This window comes from Homo sapiens, chromosome 4 (assembly GCF_000001405.40).
Source record: "Homo sapiens chromosome 4, GRCh38.p14 Primary Assembly".
NCBI classification, from domain to species: domain Eukaryota; kingdom Metazoa; phylum Chordata; class Mammalia; order Primates; family Hominidae; genus Homo; species Homo sapiens.
In genome coordinates this window covers 164,724,275-164,747,418 of record NC_000004.12, presented here as the reverse complement: position 1 = coordinate 164,747,418, position 23,144 = coordinate 164,724,275, and the positions used below count along the sequence as shown (strand labels likewise).

Sequence of the window (23,144 nt, the reverse complement as noted above, 5' to 3'; positions counted from 1 at the left end):
GGCCAGCCGCCCCGTCTTGGAGGGAGGTGGGGGGGTCAGCCCCCCGCCCGGCCAGCCGCCCCGTCCGGGAGGTGAGGGGCGCCTCTGCCCGGCCGACCCTACTGGGAAGTGAGGAGCCCCTCTGCCCAGCCACCACCCCGTCTGGGAGGTGTGACCAACAGCTCATTGAGAACGGGCCAGGATGACAATGGCGGCTTTGTGGAATAGAAAGGCGGGAAAGGTGGGGAAAAGATTGAGAAATCGGATGGTTGCCGTGTCTGTGTAGAAAGAAGTAGACATGGGAGACTTTTCATTTTGTTCTGTACTAAGAAAACTTCTTCTGCCTTGGGATCCTGTTGATCTGTGACCTTACCCCCAACCCTGTGCTCTCTGAAACATGTGCTGTGACCACTCAGGGTTAAATGGATTAAGGGCGGTGCAAGATGTGCTTTGTTAAACAGATGCTCGTTAAGAGTCATCACCACTCCCTAATCTCAAGTACCCAGGGACACAAACACTGCGGAAGGCCGCAGGGTCCTCTGCCTAGGAAAACCAGAGACCTTTGTTCACTTGTTTATCTGCTGACCTTCCCTCCACTATTGTCCTATGACCCTGCCAAATCCCCCTCTGTGAGAAACACCCAAGAATTATCAATAAAAAATAAATAAATTAAAAAAAAAAAAAAAAGCATTCCCACTTTTCAGCAGGGTCACCAGCTCTCCTGGTTTGCCTGGGACTAAGGGTTTTCCTGGAATATGGGACTCTCAGCTAAAACTGAGATAGTTCTGGGCAAACGGGGATGGTTGGCCACTCTACCCCTGGATATTCTTTGTTGGTAGCAACTTTTCCTTTTTTCTTGCTTGAAATATTGTTTTATCCTCAAGCTTGTTAACTATAGGTTTTTTAACAGTCTTTGTTTTTTCTCAGTATCATGCAATACGTTGACTCTGCTTTCTTTGAGTTCTTTTGATTTACTTAGTCTCTCCTTTCATGCTGGAGACTGTACAAATGTCTTGTGATTTGTAACTGGCTAATCATATTTAAGAGTGCTGACTGGAGGCACTTCAAGAGTAGCAGGGCTCATCAGCTGCTGGGTTTTACTCTAGGGGGATTTGAGAGGAACCTAGGCATAAGATTGTGAGATTACCAAATGTTAATCTAGAGCTCTTTTTTCTTGGACTCATCGATTTCCAGTTTCCCCATAGAGAAAGCCTCCAATTTCTTGCTGGGCAGGCATCATTCTCGGGGGTGGTGGTTGGAGTAAGTGGTAAAAAGGGACTGGAGTGGCCTTTTTCTCAATATGGCACCTCATTCCATCCATTGTACTTGATGTCTCTGGGACTATGAGAGGTAATAATAAATTGTTGCCTTAAACATCTAAGTTTGGGTTGATTTGTTACACAGTATTAGATGCATGCAACAAAAATTGTTATTGAAACTGGGATGCTGCTGTAATAAAGACTTAAAACTTGTGGCATTGGCTTTGGGACTAGGCAGCAGGCAAGGGGCAAAAGGGCCTTGAGGAGACTGTTAGTGACAACCTGCGGGACAGTGAGGAATTACCAGTGGAAGCTGGAGAAAAGCAGAGCCTTGTTATACAATGTTAGAAAGTTTGGTAACAAAGTTGCCAGAAGAAATGTGGAAAGTAGAAATGAACTAATGGGTTTGGCTAAGGAGGGGTCCACATAGAATACTGAAAGTGCCACCTTCTTTCTTTTAGCCTCATATGCTAAAGTAATGGCTAGAGAGAGATGAACTTTTAAAAAGGTGGGGGGAGGGAGAGGGTACTGTTACTGTTAAGTTTTGAACCGTTTCCAGACAGTAAAATTTTCTCAAGAAAAGGCAGGCCAGGCGCAGTGGCTCATGCCCGTAAGCCCAACACTTCAGGAGGCTGAGGTGGGCGGATCACCTGAGGTCAGGAGTTCGAGACCAGCCTAGCTAACATGGTGAAACCCCGTCTTGACTAAAATACAAAAATTATCCAGGCATGGTGGTGGGTGCCTGTAATCCCACCTACTCATAAAACCGAGGCAGGAGAATCGCTTGATCCTGGGAGGTGGAGTTTGCAGTGAGCCGAGATTGCACCACTGCACGCCAGCCTGGGCGACAGAGCAAGACTCCGTCTCAAAAAAGAAAAGAAAAGAAGAAAAAAAAAAAGAAAGGGCTTCTGAGCAAAGATCAAATCTAGGGTAACCAGTAACACTGATGTGATGTCAGGGTGAAAATAGAGTTAAGCATGCATCTGTAACCACCTATTGAGTTTTCAGAAAGACTCAAGGGGGTGCCTTGTAGATCCTCTCAGGTGAACAAAGTCCTAAGGGCATTTCACCCACAGAACTGTGACTCTTGGGCCATAGTAGTGAAGAAGGCCTGTCTTAAAGAGACTGTGTGTGTGGCTTTTGTATAAAGGAGTGAACCCCAGTAAGATTAGTAGGGAACTTGTTAAGTTTTTAAGAGGGTTGTACCATTAGAAGTACAATGTGCTTGGATTGAAAGGACAGAACTAGTTCAGAAAGAAAAAAGTTTTTAGAGTTCCCAAACTTCTCTAGTTAGGAAGCAATTTGGGAAAGCTATGAAACTGTAAAACATTAATCATTTCTTAAAAAGAAAGAAGATTGATTCAAAATGAAGAGCTGAAAGTCCAGAGGGTAGAACCAAGAGCCACAGGAATCACTCCCTTATGAAGAAACTAGTGACATATGCCTGCCAGGACTTAAGAATTGCTATAAATCAGGGACAGCTGTGTGTCTTCTGACCAGTCTCTTTGCCCCCCTATCCCGTTGTTTTTGAGGAAAATTGTTGTGTTTATTATATTTCTGCACTATCATTGCATGTAGTGTGTAGGCACTTAGTTCACAGTTCTTCAGACTGAGAAGAGCCATATTGAAGAGTTACACCCAATGAACTGCACCTGCAGCTGTACCTGGCTCTGATTTAAATGAGTAGATCCTAGACTTTGAGCTGATGCCATGGTGATATATCATCATAGGGGTCTTGGGAATGGTGACAAGCCTATTTTGCTAATGGGAAAAATGTAAATTGTGGTGACCAGAAGGTGAACCTTGGTAGCTAGTATCCAAAGATGTCCACCATCAATTGCTTTCCTCCCTGTGTACATATGCTGTATCTTGTATCAAGAAGTAGGGTCAAATTACCCTCTTCTTGAATCTGGGCTAGACTTAGTGACCTGCTAGACCAATAGAATGTGGAGAGAAGAGATGTTCTGGAACATCGGAAGCTAGGCCATATGATGTCTTACAGCTTTTGCCTGAGTTTCTTAGGACAATCATTCTTGGAATGCTTCCATGTAGAACCTAGTGGTCATCCTATGAAAAACCCAAGCCACATGGGGAGGCCTTGTATGGGTGTTCCAGTTTACAGTCCCAGCTAATACTAGCATCAGCTGCCAACCATGTGAGTCAGCCATCTTGGACATCCATCCCAGATGAGCCTTTGGATGATTCTAGCTCCAGCCATCATTGGACTGCAATCACATGAAAAACTCTAAACAAGAACTACCCAGCTGAGCTCAGTCAAGTCATAAAACCATTAGAGATAATATATATTTTTAAGCCACTACGTTTTGTGGTTGTTTGTTGTGTAGTAATAGAAAACTGGAACACTCATGGAAATCTTGCTAGTTTTAGCATGTCTGTTTATTTTTGTGCCAGCACTAAACTGTTCACCACTGTAGTATTTTAATACATTTTAGGGCGGGTTTCCTATTGTTACTGAGCCAATATACCATATAGGTTTGATGTACAGGCTCTGGAGTCAGATTATGTAGATTTAGATTTTATCTCAACCACTTGTAAATGTATCCTTGTATGTTAACTATTCTGTGCCTCAGTTTTCTCATTTATAGAGTAAGTATGATAGAAATACCTACTTCACATTGTAGTTTAGAGGAATTAATGAAATAATGTAGATAAATGTTAATTAATAGAGTGTCTAGCAATTTATCAGGGCTCAATAAATGTTAGCTATGATTATTACTCTTTCAGATTTTTCTTAGTTCTTAATAAAGACATCTAATCTTATTGAGATTGTTATTTTATTAAAACATCCCCTCTAAGAAGTTAATTAATATTTTTCTATCTCATTACTTGGTAAAATGCCTTTAGAGTGCTTTAATGATTGAAATTATTTAGACTGAATATATGAAATGAAATGTTAGTTTTGATCTACAATTCTGTAGTTTTGTTTTGAGACAGAGTCTTGCTCTGTTGCCAGGCTAGAGTGCAGTGACATGATCGTGGCTCACTGCAGCCTTGACCTCCTGGCCTCAAGCCATCCTCCCACCTCACTCTCCTGAGTAGCTGGGACTACAGGGATGTGCCACCATGTCTGGCTAAATGTTTTGGTATTTCTCATAGAGATGGCATTTTGGCATGTTGCACTGGATGTATCTACAATCCTTTATAGGAAACTTATAGGTCTAGATGTGCTTTATATTCAGATATTTCTGTTTTAGACAGTTTAAATGATATATAACCCTACATTATGTAAAACTCTCAAAGGAGGATTAGGAGAGCACCTGGTTATCAAACACAGTAACAGTTCTACAGTTAACCCTATGATTCCTTAAGAGGAAAAAATAGTAATTTAAAGCAGCCTTACATCAATACAGGTCAAGTTTTATTACCAAGTGAATTCAGATTAAGTCATTTTTGAATGCAAAATAAGTTATGGAAAAACATTCATATTTTAGCACTTTTAAATTTTGGAATTGCAAAAAAGAGATTATGGACGAGCATACTTTCTTTCTGTGTGAGTTCTGGGGATACAGACTAGGAGGTTAATGGTGTGACCATAGTAGCTGAAGTGCAGAAGCAAATGGACTTGCCCAAGAAGGTAGGAAAGGTAACTGGGAAACATCAGCATGAGTTTCTTGCTGGGTTTCTAAGAACATTCATTCTTAGAAACCACATGCTTGTCCTTTTTTCTCAATTTTTTTTTATTCCTTGTGAGGTTTTTTTTTTTTTTTTTTTTTTTTTTTTTTTTTTTTTTTTTTTTTTTTTTTTTTTCTGTAAGAGCAAACTAATAGCTAGGACAAATTCCTGAAGTTCTCTCTTGCAAAACAATATAAATACTGTCCAACTTAGAATCAGAGGTAGTAGGATATAAATCAAATCACTTGAACCTAATATTCATCCCTGAAAGGTCTGAGAGAAACAAAAGAACATAACATGATAAAACCGGGGAAAAATCTGATTAAAAATACTATCTATCAGGGGAACCCACCCCCAATATTTCAATGTAGGTTCTTTCTATTTTCCATAAGTGTCGGCTGGCTGAGAAATAAAGAGAGACAGTATAAAGAGGAATTTTTTTTAAATTATACTTTAAATTTTAGGGTACATGTGTACAACATGCAGGTTTATTACATATGTATACATGTGCCATGTTGGTGTGCTGCACCCATTAACTCATCATTTACATTAGGTATATCTCCTAATGCTATCCCTCCCCCCTCCCCCGACCCCACAACAGGCCCCGGTGTGTGATGTTCCCCTTCCTCTGTCCATGTGTTCTCATTGTTCAATTCCCACCTATGAGTGAGAACATGCAGTGTTTTGTTTTTTGTCCTTGCGATAGTTTGCTGAGAATGATGGTTTCCAGCTTCATCCATGTCCCTATAAAGGACATGAACTCATCACTTTTTATGGCTGCATAGTATTCCATGGTGTATATGTGCCACATTTTCTTAATCCAGTCTATCATTGTTGGACATTTGGGTTGGTTCCAAGTCTTTGCTATTGTGAATAGTGCCGCAATAAACATATGTGTGCATGTGTCTTTATAGCAGCATGATTTATAATCCTTTGGATATATACCCAGTAATGGGATGGCTGGGTCAAATGGTATTTCTAGTTCTAGATCCCTCAGGAATTGCCACGCTGACTTCCACAATGGTTGAACTAGTTTACAGTCCCACCAACAGTGTAAAAGTGTTCCTATTTCTCCACATCCTCTCCAGCACCTGTTGTTTCCTGACTTTTTAATGATTGCCATTCTAACTGGTGTGAGATGGTATCTCATTGTGGTTTTGATTTGCATTTCTCTGATGGCCAGTGATGATGAGCATTTTTTCATGTGTCTTTTGGCTGCATAAATGTCTTATAAAGAGGAATTTTACAGCTGGGCTGCCGGGGGTGACATCACATATTGGTAGGACTGTGATGCCCACCTGAGCCTCAAACCAGCAAGTTTTTTATTAAGGGTTTCAAAAGGGGAGGGGGCGTAAGAACAGGGAGTAGGTACAAATATCACATGCTTCAAAGGGCAAAAAGCAGAACTACTGATAAGGGTCCAACAAAGATCACAAGGCAAAGGGCAAAAGCAGAACTACTGATAAGTGTCTGTGTTCAGCAGTGTACGTATTGTCTTGATAAACAACTTAAACCACAGAAAACAGGGTTCGAGAGCAGAGAATGGGTCTCGCCACAAATTTACCAGGGCAGGATTCTTCCCTACACTAGTAAGCCTGAGGGTACTGCAGGAGATCAGGGTGTATCTCAGTCCTTATCTCAACCGCATAGGACAGACACTCCCAGAATGGCCATTTATAGACCTCCCCCCAGGAATGCATTCCTTTCCCAGGGTATTAATATTAATATTCCTTGCTAGGAAAAGAATTCAGTGACATCTTCCCTACTTGCACGCCCATTTATAGGCTCTCTGCAAGAAGAAAAATATGGCTCTCTTTGCCTGGCCCCGCAGGCAGTCAGACCTTATGGTTGTCTTCCCTTGTTCCCTAAAAATCGCTGTTATTCTGTTCTTTTTCAAGGTGCACTGATTTAATATTGTTCAAACACACATGTTTTACAATCAATTTGTACAGTTAACATAATTATCACAGTGGTCCTGAGGTGATGTACAGCCTCAGTTTACGAAGATAACGGGATTAAGAGATTAAAGTAAGACAGGTGTAAGAAATTATAAAAGTATTATTTGGGAATGGATAAATGTCCATATTAAAATGAAATCTTCACAATTTATGTTCCTCTGCCGCGGGTCCAGCCAGTCCCTCCATTCAGGGTCCCTGACTTCCCAAAACAACTATCCTAAACCTCTTGGGAAAATAAAACACACGGAAAAACTGGCAAAAACGTTAATTTGATAATTTTTAAGTAGAACTAAATGTTAACAAAATATAGTACCATGTAGTATTGGGTAGGAGGAAATAGCATCCAGGAATATTCTTCCTCAAATACCCAGATTTAAAGACAGGGTCCTGGACTTGTGAATACTCTTTGGGCATTATTAAAAGGACAGCTAGAGCCTTCTATTCACATGTGACCCTGTGGCTCTAGGGAGAAGCTGGCAAGTATAATCTGTATTTCTGGATGTGAACGAGGTAAGGGAGGATGAAGAGAAAATAAATGGTCAGAGATGTAGAAATGTGATCTATATGCTTTCAGTGAATCCACAGAGCTAGGAAAAATGTTAAACTTACTTTGCAACAACAAGAGTAATTGTGATTCTTAAACTATTTATCTCAGAATTGATAGAAACTATAGATCCTCTCCTTTTTTTTTTTTTCTTTTGAGGCAGAGTGCAGTGGCGCGATCTCAGCTCACTGCCACCTCCACTTCCCGGGTTCAGGTGATTCTCCTGCCTCAGCCTCCCGAGTAGCTGGGACTACAGGTGCGTGTCACCACACCCAGCTAATTTTTTGTATTTTTAGTATGGATGGGGTTTAACCATGTTAGCCAGGATGGTCTTGATCTCCTGACCTCGTGATCCACCCGCCTCAGCCTCCCAAAGTGCTGGGATGATGGGCATGAGCCACTGTGCCCCACCGATCCTCTCTTCTCTAAGATGCACTGATGCATGTTCACCAAGTTTTGCACAGCATTTTAGATAATTTACATATACATTAACTAATCCACAGACTCTGGGCTCCCGGCTTAAGTAAAATCTGATTCTTATCCAAGCTGGGATAAAAATATTTGCTCTCTCAGCTCCAACTTTAGAATAGAAAAAGGAAAAAGATGTAAAATAAATAAGGAAATGTTTATAGCATTTAGTGATGATGTTTATTGTGGTTTATTTTTAGAATATTAGGATATCCTGGCTGTGTTCAGCTATTGGGAAGGAATTAAGAGAATCATTTTTTGAAATTATTTATTTTTATTAAGTAACAGAAGTAATATGATGTTATAGCTAATTTAAGAGGTTAGACAATTATTTAATGGAATTACTATGCATATTTTGGTACATTTCCCTTTAGTCTTTTTTTTCCCAAGTTAAAAGTAAAAATGTCAAAATATTTAAAAGAATATTGTGACGAATTTCAAATACTCATCACCTCGTGTGGCAATATTATTTTTCAAAGACGGCTGGGGTTGGGCGCCGTGGCTCACACCTGTAATCCCAGCACTTTGGGAGGCTGAGGCGGGTGGATCACTCCAGGTCAGGAGTTCGAGACCAGCCTGGCCAACATGGTGAAACCCCGTCTCTACTAACAATACAAAAATTAGCTGGGTGTGGTGGCTGTGCGCCTGTGATTCCAGCTACTTGAGATGCTGAGGCAGGAGAATCGCTTGAATACGGGAGGCGGAGGTTGCAGTGTGCTGAGATCGTGCTACTGCACTCCAGCTTGGATGACAAAGGGAGACTCTGTATCACAACAAAACAAACAAAGATGGCTGGAACAGTAACTTTCGCCTCACACGCTATTCTTTCAATGCGACCTTGCCACGCCCTCATCAAAAGGTGGATCCCTCCACTTGACCTGGGTGGACTTTTGTGTCTGGAGTAAAACTGAAGTGATGCTACATAACTTCAAAAAATAGCTTAAAAATAACACATAATTTCTGCTGGTTTATTTTGGAACACTTACTCTGGGATCCTTTAGTTACAATATAAGAAGTTTGTTTTCCCTGAGGCGACAAAGTGGAGAAACCATTTGGGGGTGAGGGGGAGAGAGAAGGCAGGAGAAGAGGAGGAGGGAAGGGACACACTTGAAGAGTTTCAGCTCTTGCAGCTCCTATTTGTTTGAGTGAAGAAGGACCCAGTTCCAGTACTGTCTCCAGTACTGCAGGAGAGACCCTGAGAGAGACCTGCCTAACTGATTTGAGTCAACTTCCAAATTATTGAGCAAAATAAGGATCATTACTGTCTTAAGACCCTGTTTCTGGATAGTTTGTTAAAAAGCAATAGAAAACTGGAATACCTAAATTGAACAACTACTAACAGATTTCCTTAACTGTTCATCTAATTTTTTTCTTTGCAGGAGAATTTTAAAACAAATCTCAGATAACATGATATTTCGCTTCTAGTTCATTTTACATTTCTAAAAATTAATAACTTTTTTTGTAACATAGAATGTAAAATACATTTACATAATATAGTAGCCAGTTCATATTCAAAATTCATTTATTGCTCTCCAAATATATTATTTACATTTATTTTGTTTAAATTAGATTTCAAACAGGGTCCACACCTTATATATAATTATTATGTCTCTTACATCTTTTTTTGTATTGAATAACTTCAATTTTTTAAAACGCCACTGTTTTGTAGATAAGAATATCATATTTATATTTCTTAAATGCTTTGAACTATAGTGTCCACAAATTTATGCCAAGCACTTTAGCAACATTTCTATAGTGCTATAGCTCCATAACTCTATCTGTTAATAAATACAGTATATATCATTGGGTTGCTACATGTGGGTTTGCTCACTCATTCCCCTAGTGTTGAATATTTTAAGAACCAATTACCTGTTCCCATTCCTTTGCTATTTTATTCACTACCATCAAATTCATAAATAAATCTTTTTACTTGACTCCAAATTATTTCCTTAAGACAAACTTCCAGAGATAAAAATTTTTAGTCAAAACTTGTTTAGTATTTTTTGGACTTGCCAAAGAGAAATTGCAACAGACATTTTTTAAAAATGGCAAGATAGGTTTTATTCTGTCAAGTTACTGCAGTACAGGAGAGAGACTTCAGTACAAAACTGTATTCTAAATACAGCCAAGACACCCTGGGATTGATGGCCACTAGGCAGGGTGGGATCAGTGAGTGAAAAATTACTGAGGAACTTGATTAGATATCAACAGCTGGGGAAAATGAGGAACTTGATCAATGATAGAGGAATTCTTGCTAAACTGGCTTCTTAGGACTCTTGCTAAAACTGGACTCAGTTGGCCAAGGATGAGGCCTGGTCAAGAAGAGTGCTTAGAGGAGCCTGACTAGTATCCAGTTAAGGAGGAAGTCCTTGTCAGACTCTAGGTACATGTTACCAAATTCCTTTGTAAAACCAGGATACTAGTAATATAGAGAGGAACACTTCACCAACATCACATCATGAAATTTCAAGAATAATCTATTAGATAAAAATGATACCAGCCGGCTGCGGTGGCTCACGCCTGTAATCCCAGCACTTTGGGAGGCTGAGGCAGGTGGATCACGAGGTCAGGAGATCGAGACCATACTGGTCAACATGGTGAAACCTCGTTTCTACTAAAATACAAAAAATTAGCTGGGCATGGTGGTGCATGCCTGTAGTCCCAGCTACTCGAGAGGCTAAGGCAGGGGAATTGCTTGAACCCAGGAGGTGGAGGTTGCAGTGAGCCGAGATCATGCCACTGCACTCCAGCCTGGTGACAGGGCAAGACTCTGTCTCAAAAAAAAAAAAAAAAAAAGGTACCATTGAAAGTACTGAATATTTGCTACAACATGAACAAACCTTGAAAATGTTGCTAAATGAAATAAGCCAGTCACAAAAACCATCTACTGTGTGATTCTTTCTATATGAAATGACCAGAAAAGACAAATCTGCAGAGGTAGAAAACATATTAGTGGTGGCCTATGGCAGGGCGGTTTGTGGGGAAATATGGGGTTTATTTTTGGGGTGATGAAAATATTCTAAAATTGTGGTAATAGTTGTACAATTTTGTGAATATATTAAAATCCATTCAATTATATACTTTAAATGACACATTGTATGACATGTGAATTAGATCTCAGTAAAGCAATTATATTAAACACAGTACCATGTTCTTGAGTGTTTTTGAATTTTATTAATAATATTTAAAACATTTCTATATATTTGCTTGCTAGCTATAGTTTCTCTTTTAAAAGTTTAAATTAATTTAAACAACATATTTTAAAAAGTTTTTTTGTTTAAAACATTACGTGTATTTTTTAACCAATGAAAATAGTAGGCAAAAGAATAATATATTTTCCCAGAAAACATATGTTGTTGAAGAATAAAGCACTCATTTCAATCCTTGGGAAAACTGAGCAAATTATTATGATGCAATATTGAAGCAGTTTTGCATGAAAAAATACAACAGATTAAAGAGGCGACATCTAATATGCCAGAACAATAGAAATTACAACCAAATACAGAATACTGTAACTTAGAGATGATCTATTCACTGCCATATCCATTCAAATTTCTTTTTTTTTTCTTGTTTTTGAGATGAAGTTGCCCAGGCTGGAGTGCATTGGCACAATTTCAGCTCACCGCAACCTCTGCCTCCCAGGTTCAAGCGATTCTCCTGCCTCAGCCTCCCAAGTAGCTGGGATTACAGGTGTGAGCCACTAAAGCCGGCTAATTTTTTTTTTGTTTTTAGTAGAGACAGAGTTTCACCATGTTGGTCAGGCAGGTCACACCTAGCCAATGGGTAGCTTTTTAAAAGGGGTCTGTTATGCGTTTATTGAGTTTCGGATTTTGTAGATGCACATGTTCAGAAATATCAGTGAATGAAAATCACAGGCTGGGTGCAGTGGCTCACGCCAGTAATTCCAGCATTTTGGGAGTCCGAGGAGGGTGAATTACCCGAGGTCAGGAGTTCAGGACCAGCCTAGCCAACATGGTGAAACCCATCTTTACCAAAAAATACAAAAAAAAAAAAAAAAAAAAAAAAAAAAATTAGCCAAGGGTGGTGGCGTGTGCCTGTAATCCTAGCTACTTGGGAGGCTGAGAGAGGAGAATTGCTTGAACCCAGGAAGCAGAGATTGCAGTGAGCCGAGATCGCACCATTGCACTCCAGCCTGGGTGACAAGAGTGAAACTCTGTCTCAAAAAAAAAAAAATTACAAACAGAAACTGAGACTCATGAAGGGAGTGGTCTCATGGTGTAGAAGCTTAGTCTCAGGGCTCTGGTGGGTGCCTTAAGGAAACTAAAACAAAAGTATTTCTTTTACCTGCTTTGCAGGCTTATCAAATGGTGCCATATGAGGACTCTGGGAATGACGTTTATCCAGTAATCAGATAATCAGATATTTAACTGCTCTTTGAGATACCGTTTGGAAATTGGTAACAACTCAATCTCCTGCTTTGTTAGACTCAAGCCCCAGGTGACAACCCATCTCAAGCAAATCTCTTTCAGTCCTTCTAGGATATTTTAAACTTCATTTAATTCAGAGCAATCAGAAAAAGTAGAGAATGTATACTTGCCAACACAGGAATGAGACATTTCAGCAGCGGTTTATCTAGGAAAATTTACTATTTGCCATTAGTGTTAGAATTAAAATCCCAAGAGAGATTTGCCATTCTCAGCCTAGAATTCCCTCCCCAACCAAGTTCTGAGCAGCTGCTATGCAGGCAGATTCTCAACAGCCTCCGAGACTTCTCACCGCGGTACACATCCTGAATAATCCCTGGGACTGAGAATAGGATGGATTTTATTCTCGTGATTAGATGATGAAAATCAAGTGGGCTGGCCTGACCTAATCACATGAGCACTTTAAAGACACTTTCCTCCAGCTTGTCACAGTAAGGAAGTTAGAAACCGGAAGTGTGAGGAGGATGTGAGACATCATTGCTGGCTTAAAGATGGAGGGAATCATGTGGCACAGAACTGAGGGTGACCTCTAGGAGCCGAGTGACCCCCGGCTGAAAGCCAGCAAGGAAATGGGAACCTCAATCCTACAACTGCAAGGAACTGAACTCTGTCAACACCAGGAATCAATCTGGAATTGGATTTTCTCCCAGAGCCCCCAAATGAGAACTCAGTCCAGCTGATACCTTATTTCTGCCTTGGGATACCCTGAGTAGAGAACCCAGTCATGTTGTCCTAAAATTCTAACACATTAACGTGAGCCACTAAATCAGTTTTATTTTAAGCCTCCATGCTTCTAGTAATTTTTACCCAGCAATAGAAAACTAATGCAAATGTGTAGCCATTTTTACCTTATTAAAAGTATCTGTCACTAAGAAAAACGTTTCAGCAGTTTGACTCTCAGGCCACCTAACACATTTCCCCTCAGGAAGCAGGAATAAATTGAGGAGAGATACCGCCTCCAGCTGTGAATAACCAGGCCACGTAGCAGAACCTCACGCCAGGCATAAAATCGCACAGAGCTTCCAATGTCAAAAAGCAGGTTTTAGACACCTTGCAGGCAGTCCTGCCCTCATTAGTGACTTAAATGATTATACACTTAGCACATGCATGTTTTCAGATTCCGTGTTTTAGGTGTAATTCAACATCAGGGATGGCTTGGCAGTTTGATTTCTATCCTGAAAATATAAATATTGTTTTTTTTGGATAAATTTCCAGTGGGTCTGCATTTTTCGATTAGATGTTATCAGGCATGTATTTAAGATTTAAAGAATGCTTGAAAGTTGTGACTAGGTAATATATTCTGGAAAATCTCTGAAAAAGAAAAAAATTATGTGAAAGTGACTTTTTTTTTAAAACCAAAACAGCTATATTAACATAAGCTGTTGGTGTTTTTGAGGTTGCCACCAAAAGCCTAGCCTCACATTAACAGATTTTTAATAATTTACTTAGATACTTTCTCAAATTGGATAATGAAGGACCTCTTGTTTACTAATGAATGTCTAAGTTTGAGACATTATTTTTTAGGCAGATATACTCCAGGTATTCAATGTTGCTCTTATTGTTAGGGAGAGAGACAAATACAAACATATTCTAAGTTTTTCTTGTTGTGATATCTCATTTGATCATTGAAAAATATTTCTTCTTCTTTGACATTTATTTGCTATGATTCATTTATTCTCTTTTATTAATTACCTAAAAAATTTTACCTGGGACAATACTAGTGTGTAGAAGCGTGGGATTTGGAGTCTGGGGGAAGCTGCTAGCCTATTCATTTATTCTCTTCCTTTTTCTTCTTCCTACTTTTTAATTGTACACATTGCAGCATACAATAAAAGACAGTTCTAGCCACCCCTGCAACTGGGTATAGCCATATATCTGTACTTTAGCCAACAATATGACAGTGGATGTACTGCTTGCAACTCAGGAGAAGACATTGAAATGGTTGTAGACTTGGTGTTGGAGGGTGTTCTTTTTGTGCCTCTTTCCTTTCCTCCTCCTTAGGACTGAACAGGGGAGGTGAAGGTTGGAGCTCCATACCTTTCAGGAGCCCTTAGACTTGAAGTCTTAAATGTGGATAGTGCGATAGAAAGATAGGAGGCTGGTTCCTAACAACACCACAGATCTTCCAGAACAGCCATAGATTATCCATCACTGGATTTCTCTCAGAGAGAAACAAATTTTGATCCTTTAGAAAAGACTCATATTTTCGTTTATTAGATGGGCCTGCACCTCATCGTACTAATCACAGAATAGAACAGATCTGGGCTTTAGCCTGAGAAAGGAGCAACCTACCTTCTTCCTACTTTACCCGCAGAACTCCTCCTCATCCTTCCTATCTGAACTCAGGTGTCATCTCTAGCAAGAAGCCATCCCTGGTTTCCTCAGTCTGGGTCAAGTGCTTCCAAAGTACCTTATACACATCAATAAACATGATGTGCTGGGATTTTTAATTTACTATCACTTTTTAGATGACAAATTTTTTGAGGACTATCTATATAGTAGATACACATATACATATTTATATATATTTTTTATTGCTTTAATTAACAGGACTCAAAGATTTATTGATTTCCAGCTTTGTCACTTACTATTACATGAATTTGAATAACCTCTTTGAATTTCAGTTTCTTTTTAAGTGAAACGGGAAGTTAATATCTAATAGATATAACAAATTATATTTTTAAAAACTTATATGAAGTCCATTGCTTTGTACTTGGTGGACAAGTAATAGTTATTAGTGCCTATTATTCCCTCTAACATGTAGACAAGTGAGGATTCATATATATGTATTTATTAAAGTTAATTGAAATTCAAATTGAAATATAATTTTAAAAACTTCGTTTCCTGGCAACCAATTACAGACACAGTCGAGTACAAAGAAAACTCCAGAAATACTATAATAAAAGTCCACTTCTAATTGCATTGTTGTCTAAGTTAAGAGAATTGTGGTCAACATCTGCCATACCTGGGAGCTTCTTACATTTATAAAGAGCCACAGAATTCATCTACATCAAATTAGTGCTGAGAATATCCCCCTCTAAAAACACATCGCCTCCATTCGTCTGTGAGGTGCATTGACAGAACATCCTCGCAAGGGGGCACCATTGCAATTCCAATTCCTAGCACCTGGGTGACAGCACAGAACTTTATTTGCAGTGTTAGTTATTTTTAATCTTTTAGTAAGCTGCACTAGCTCCCAGCCTCTGAAGGGAAGACTTTTTAGGAAAATAATCAAAATACTAGATGTAAAGTCAGTATTAAGAGATAACAAGGGGAAGCTAAAAAAGTGACCATTTGAAAGAATGGTTCAATGTAAAAACAACTTTCTTGGTAATATTTTCTTATCAAACACCCATAAAAAGCCTCTGTTTTAGTTCAACAATAAAAGTAGTATTAATAAACCAAAGGGAAGCTGACAAAAGGTTGGCTTGAACACAAAGTAGATTCAACATATGTCATTTGTTATCTCCAGAAAATGAAATGACAATCAAAATATGAAAAATGTCATATGCTTTTATAAAGTACTTTACATATTAGCTCCCACAGTTCTAAGAGGTAGATTATTCAGCTATTATTTAACCCCTATTTTATGGAAAGGTTAATTAGTTTATCCAAGAACTGATAGCAAGTTCGCAGCAGAATTATAGTCTTGAACCCAAGTAGAGTAAGTTGTTTGTTCGTATCTATTAAACAAAGCTATTTGGTGCTTCCTCCTTATGCAAGATGTGCTTCATTCTTAAACTCAAGGAGGCTTTTAAAATTTATTTTTCCAGAATGGTAGGATAGTTTATTTTAGGATTCTAGAAGAAGGTGTTATTATTATTTAAGTATCTAAGAATCAAGTTTGGGAGTAGGCAATGAAGACTGATCTAAGGGGTTTTAGAATTCTGTAAACTGGTCTGTGCCACATAGAGAGGTGACATTTCTTACAGGTTCACAAGTCCTATAGTTACTAAAATAAGCATGACCTAATTTTAGCTCACTGTTACTGCTTCCTTATTTACCCCAGCAAGCAAAAGTTTAACGTGCATTCATCATTGATATAATCAGAAAAACATCAATATATATAATTTTATTATGAATAAACTACCAGCTTAAACAAGGATGTAAAAATGGTTGGCAATGGCATCAAGGAAAATGCTGAATGAAGAACAGAACTTGACCTCAAGACCACTGTATTCTTCTGAGAGAGAACCATCTGCTGCTGAGGTTCTGGGCAATGAAACTCAAAGCTGAATATCACGACAGTAACTCAAACAACTCTTGAAACTATGTCAGAGGTCACAATGTCGAACGCCTTTAGAAGCTAGACTGGCAACACAACAAAGATGTTAGATAAGTATAAGAATTTTTTTTTCTAGTCTTGGTAGTTTTAATTTTCCCACTTTTGATAGATGTGATAGAGAAAGATTTCATTTTTCTTAGCTCTCCTCTAAGAATAACCACACAAACAGGATGGCAATGGTACCTGGAACCCTTGGCATGGGGAAAACAACATGAAATGAAGCTTCTATGGTGACTGAGGGGACATTTCCATGTAAGGGGACATTTCCATGTAAGGGGACAGCCACTTCTCAGCTCTCGCTCTTCGCTAGCTTGAGGGAAGGTAGGTATAACTTTACTAGATCTTCAGCTTTTTAAAGAGAAGCTGAAAATCTGGATTTTTATGTGAAGACTTCTTGCTTGTTAAAGTTTTCAAGTGACACAAAAATTTAAATATGTTGTGCTGGCTAGACAAGCCTGTGACCTAGCAGTCTGCAACCATGGAACTATGCCTTAATTTCTGGTTGCCACCTCTCTCCTAAGCTCCTGACCTGAGTAATCAATTAGCTAATAGACATCTCTATTGGGTTCAAAGTTCTCATAAGTTCAACACATATCTAAAGCCAAACCAACATTCTTTCCTGTAGAACCCACGCTTTTTCTGCTACGAATGCCTTTAATCAACAGCTCCAACATCCACTCTGCTGTTCCAGCTCCAAACTGGTGGTTGCTCTACACTTCTCTCTCTGCCTTGCCACCCACACTTAATTAAGAACCACAGTTTATCAATTTTTCTCCTAAAACATTTATTCTACATATACTTAAGACCTGTCATGTCTCAGGTAGTATTCTAGGTACTAAGGAAATACACAGATTCCATGATCTTTGTGCCCAGGGTTGTCATTCATGACTGGGAAAAAAGAAGGAATTTTCTCCATGACCAACATTTCCATCGTTATCAGTGATTTTCTTTCTTACTTCCTTAGTAATGTCGGAAAATGCAACAGTGAGTGAGTCTTCTGGGTTTTATTTTGGTTTTAGAAATATAGTTTCCTAATTACAAAGATTCGATGAACATATTGTTCAGGTTTTATAAAATGGCCTCAACTTGCCAAAGGTTACTGGTTGGCTAATTGAATAAATAAAATATTAAGTCTTTGAGTGTCATCTGGGTGGAGAAGCCTCAAGACATTATTGTGATACAGCCACTGGTATTTGGTTTATTCCTAGAACATGCACCAAACTTCTTGACTTCCATCTCTTTTTCAGCTCTATAATCCATATGTAAATTCTATGCCTCACCTTGTAACTCATCATCTCTTTCTTTTTATTTCTAATGTGAGCTTCTTCTTTTTTTCTTTTTTTTTTTTTTTGAGTCTGAGTTTTGCTCTTGTTATCCATGCTGGAGTGCAATGGCACAATCTCTGCTCACTGCAACCTCCACATTCCAGGTTCAAGTGATTCTCCTGCCTTAGCCTCCCAAGTAGCTGGGATTACAGGCATGCGCCACGATGCCTGGCTAATTTTTTGTATTTAGTAGAGACAGGATTTCACCATGTTGATCAGGCTGGTCTCGAACTCCTGACCTCAGATGATCCACCTGCCTTGGCTTTCAAAGTGCTTGTATTATAGGCATGAGCCACCGTGCCCAGCCTAACGTGAGATTTTTAAGCAATTTGTTTGCTATGCCTAGTATTGGAAAGACAGAGACAGGTGCTGGGAGGATCAGGATGATCATGAGCATTTAAAGTAGAGAGAGAGATAGACAGGGAAAAGGGATGCAAAGTGTTAAAAGGTATGGAGAAAGGAGGAAAGGTGATTAGATGCATTGGAGGAGAATGAAGCCTGTGAATTCAGCCTGGTCCCTAAAAGATCTATAGGATTTCAACAGATGATAAAGAAGACAAAGAGAATGTAGTCGGATGGGATATTCAGAGCAAAAGTTGAAAGATGTGAAGGTACATTCTGCATTCAGGAGATAGTGTCCCCTGGAGAGGCTCCCACAAGGCATAGTGAGGGCAGTGGGAGGAGTGAGGCAATGGGGGAATCTAGGCTCTAGGCTCGGGAGGGCTGAGATCATGTTACTCAGAGGCTTTAGAAGGAGGCCTTAACAAGGAGCGAGAACAGTAGGCACAAGTTTGGGGTTCCTGAGTAGAAAACGTCAAGCGGTTCAAAGCAGCTTTTTCATGTCTGTAAGACCAAAGCCTCCAACACCTTGCCTGGAACTGTGGTTCTTAGATGTGCAGTTTTTCTTTCTGAGCTACAGCACTGCGCCAAGTGTGAATCCAGGTAGAAAAACAGAAATACCACTCTGCTGTCTTGAATTACAGGACAATTTTCACACATGCTCTATGGGGAGTATCCCATTGGTCAGACTGGCTGAAGGACTAAGCAGAGAAAGAAGGGAAAAAAAGTTAATTTGTTGTTAGAGGATTCTAGAAGCATAGGCTTTGGCAGGTTTTAAAAGGAAAATTTACAGCTTTAATAAAACTGATAAAGCCATCCTAACTTTTATGTGGTGAATATGATTTGATATTCACTGAAGATAAATTAGACATGGTGAGTTTCCCCAGGGCTCCTGCTGGAGACTAAAATGGTATTGTCTGAAATGAACTCAAAGAATCATCTTTGGAGTTAGATGCGGGCAAATTTGAAGAGATAAGGACCAGGCTAAGAGTTCAAGCATGACGTGAACAAATATGAAATAGAATTTAAGTCAAACGGTGTTCAGTGTTTTTTAGGTATCATTGTGCATACAAAAATCCAGAGGAAAGCAGGAGCAGGCTCAGAGGGGCCTTAGCTGGCTTACTTCCAGAATCACAGGCTCCATTGAGTCCCATGATGTCTGACCCCTATTCTTATTGGGCCATACGTTCGTTTAGTTAAAACAGGATATAGAACCATGTGCAATTGCATCTTATTTATCTCTCCAGATCCAGCAAGAAGATAATTTGCACATAATGACAGATTGGCTCAGGTATCTAGCCCCAAATAGAGGGTCTGGTTGTGATCCATCATCATGACATTTCAGCTTTAACAAATATGGCTGCTCACAGAGGACACAATACATGAGTGAAAGTGGAGGGACAGAATTTTTTGGAGCCATCCATCAATAAGAAAAAGGATGGAGGGTTTTTATGGAATACGACCTTCATCAGTTAGCAGTGGCATGAGTTTTACCTCAAACCCTATTAAAATCCTTTTTTAAAAAACAATTAAGCTATTTTATTGAATATATCATAGTTGTCATAAAGTTCATACATTTCACTTTTTGATACCCTAATGTATTTCCATGAACCTTTAAGTCTACAATTTTATAGATATAGTTTTCCATCCAATAAGCCAGAGGTAGATAATTTTTTTTACATGTAACTAATTAAAGGCTTTACAAGAGGTTAGGCTGTAAAAAGTTACAGTTTTGCCATAACACCACCGAAAGACACTTAATTAGGAAAGAGTTTTTTTCTACATTATTTCTTAGTCTTATAAAATGGTAAATTTTAACCAAATTGATACCTTTGTACTCTTATTTGTTTCCTATACTCTTAAATCATACTGCTTGGCAAGCGATATAAGTATTGATATAATTTTTAAATTCAATTAGTTGTAAACAAACTCTGATTTGTTAATAAGTGCATGTATTTCCCTTTAACCACCTACTATACTACCTCAGAATTAATCCTCCTATAAAAACCCTCCCACATAGAAAAAATAATGCAGAGCTTCATCTCTTCCTCAGAGATTTTCATATATTATAGGAATACAAATCCATAAAAAAGGATTAAAAATTGACATTTCATCTTGCCTTACTAATTATGAGATAATAGAGATGTGACAAAAACAAATGTTCCTTAATGTTTTTCTGCCTAACATAATATTATACTAAGAAATACTGCAATTATGTTGGTGAGCTATTTTCCAGCTTCTCCAAGTATAGGACACAACTATGGTTCTATCAGCGAGGAGAAATGAATAATCTATCTTACATAACTCAAAAGAACGATGGGAGGCACAAAAAGGTGAACTGACTTTGGCTTTTAAGAACCTGATGTTGATCCTGAAATGCCAGATTCAACAACACAACAAAACAAAAGATTACAGCAGCAAGATACCACTTTGCCACACATTATTAAGAATTCTGAAATAAGCAATAGCTCAGTCACTCAATCTGTTGTATCTTCTGTTTGTTTTTCTTGCCTTTTGGTTGCAGGCAATTCAAGGTGTGCCTATTGCATAGGACCAGCTATTCTTACTGTGCTCTCTGTCTGCATTGCAGTCATAGCTACCTAACTTCACTTTTCAACAATCACAATCCATAATTTTGCATTTTGATGAAATTTCTTCTCTTCTTCAAATACAATGCGTTGGTTTTGTTGTTGATGTTGTTGTTGAGACAGAGTCTTGCTCTGTTGCCCAGGCTGGAGTACAGTGGTGCAACCTCGGTTACTGCAACCTCTGCTTCCCAGGTTCAAGTGATTCTCATGCCTCAGACTCCCAATCAGCTGGGATTACAGGCATGTACCACTACACCTGGCTAACTTTTGTATTTTAGTAGAGACGGGTTTCGTCATGTCGGCCAGGCTGGACTTGAACTCCTAGGCTCAAGTGATCCACTGGCCTTGGCCTCCCAAAGTGCTGGGATCATAGGCATGAGCCACCATGCAATGAGCCACATTCAAATGCAGTGTACGCATTTAATAATGTACTATTTGCTTCTACTCAACTAAGTTCTGGAAGTGAGTTTTTAGCATCTATGGAAATTGTGACCTCTTGCCTGATGCCAGGCATGTCTACATGGAATAACTTTGTTCCCAGCATTTTTTTTCCATGGTCTACGTGTGTTTCCTTTTTGCACAGCCCTCTTGGGCTAAGAACATACTAAAATCAGAAGTTTCTTTTATTTTCAATAGTTTCAGAGTTTCATCTCCTCCTGGAAAAGAGGTGCTCCAGAATGATAGACACAGGCTTTCTCTAGATTCTATGCACCCTGAGGTGTCTTTGAACACCCTCCATTTTCACATGAGGTCCCAATCTTGATTTCTTCACTGTCTCTTTCTTATCTTATTCATTCCCTTACGACAGTTTATCAAATGCTTGTTTTAGGCAGGCAGATACTTTTTAGTTCCAAATTTGTCATTGGTTTACCTGGACTTGGCCTTTTTATTGATTCTGCTGGGTTAGAGGCTTGAATGATGTGCTCCTGAAATTTGGGTTTTGATTCAAATAGTTCTTTCTTCTCTGTAGCCTTGACTTCAGGTTTGACTGGCTCAGGTGACGTCTCACTATTCTGTTTAGTGAATAGTGTTGTCCAGCCTGTTGTCCAGCCTGCAATGCATACATCTCACTATTCTGTTTAGTGAATAGTGTTGTCCAGCCTGTTGTCCAGCCTGCAATGCATAAGGAATCAGAAACATCAGTTGTGCTTCTCTTACAGTTAGACCAACCCTCTAATGCATCACAAAGACTGGAATACTTAGGTGGGATGAACAAACGTCATTGGAATTGGCCTCTAGATTGAAGCACTGACTGCAGCCCGGTTACTGCTAGGCAATGACATTTTCTTTTCCCACCATTACAGGCAAGGTCCAAACACCAGGAACCACAAGACACTGTGTTTACCACTTCCTGTAGCAAGCAGAGGTCTGACGGCTGAGGTGACTGCTGACTTCTGGAAATGGCTCCTAATTCTTTTACATTGTATTTTTTCCTTTTAGAGTGAATATCCAAAGATCATATATTTTTGTTACTTGGGAGCTACATGGAGACTCTCAAATCAGTTGTAATCTAAGTTTGCGGCTCTTTTACCAAGATTGCTAAATCCTCCTTGAAAGATAAATCAGAGAAAGGGAACTTAATTTTGATTGGTTGATTATGAAGTCAAACGGAGTCTCATTTTTTTGTATGGGATTCTTTGGATTTTTATAAGGGGTTGGATTATCATTCAATCAAATTTGGAGAGAGACCATGCAAGGAGCATTAGTTGTGGTGTACCCCAATTTTATTTTCAGACAGTCAAGATGGAAATATTACAAAAGCTTACTCTTTAAGAGAAAGTGAAGGGATTTAAGAATTAGGCCATCTGTAAAATGTTTCTAAATAAATATACACTTATTAAGAATTAAGCCTTTATGGTTCAAAATTAGAAAATAGATGCATCAACAACATAAGAGAGAAGAAAGTGACTGGTGAAAGAACTTAAAATAGGCTATTTACTCTAGCTGGCACCATGATTGCCAAGTTAGTTGAGCCTGTGGATATGTAATTACTTGGGTCTCTAATACTCAACATCCCAATCTAGGTTCAATCACCCAAGTCTTTAGCTTGAGTTGCTCAGATAATCCATGAACCCTCTAGGATTCTTTCCACAGAGTTAGAGGAGACAGAGTCCAGTTGGAATCCAGTACTAGTGGGAGTTGTCCCCCTAGGTTAAAGAGCTACTGAGAGGCGTTCTAGTTACAGTACTCATTAGTGTGCATAGGAGAATACTGTGCCACAGCGTGTTGGGGATGCTCACTACGCTTCTTCAAGACACTGCATGCTGATTGGTTAGTTGTTCTCCCCATAGCTCTGGGAAGAAATTAAATGCAGTCTCTCA

General features: G+C 39.1%; 1 pseudogene, besides 2 other annotated features; it reads right to left on the bottom strand.

Annotated features, from left to right (window-relative positions):
- Nucleotides 355-555: a silencer, noted in NCBI's record as "peak5145 fragment used in MPRA reporter construct". NCBI's record gives its function as "represses an SCP1 promoter by STARR-seq MPRAs in K562 erythroleukemia cells {active_cell/tissue: K562}" and the evidence as "EXISTENCE:reporter gene assay evidence [ECO:0000049][PMID:32103011]".
- Nucleotides 19,615-19,784: an enhancer, noted in NCBI's record as "experimental_75752 CRE fragment used in MPRA reporter constructs". NCBI's record gives its function as "activates a minimal promoter by MPRAs in K562 erythroleukemia cells, with activity observed for both the introgressed and non-introgressed 4:165648872 variant alleles {active_cell/tissue: K562}" and the evidence as "EXISTENCE:reporter gene assay evidence [ECO:0000049][PMID:34662402]".
- On the bottom strand, nt 19,758-21,843 carry CHORDC1P3 (CHORDC1 pseudogene 3; annotated as a pseudogene).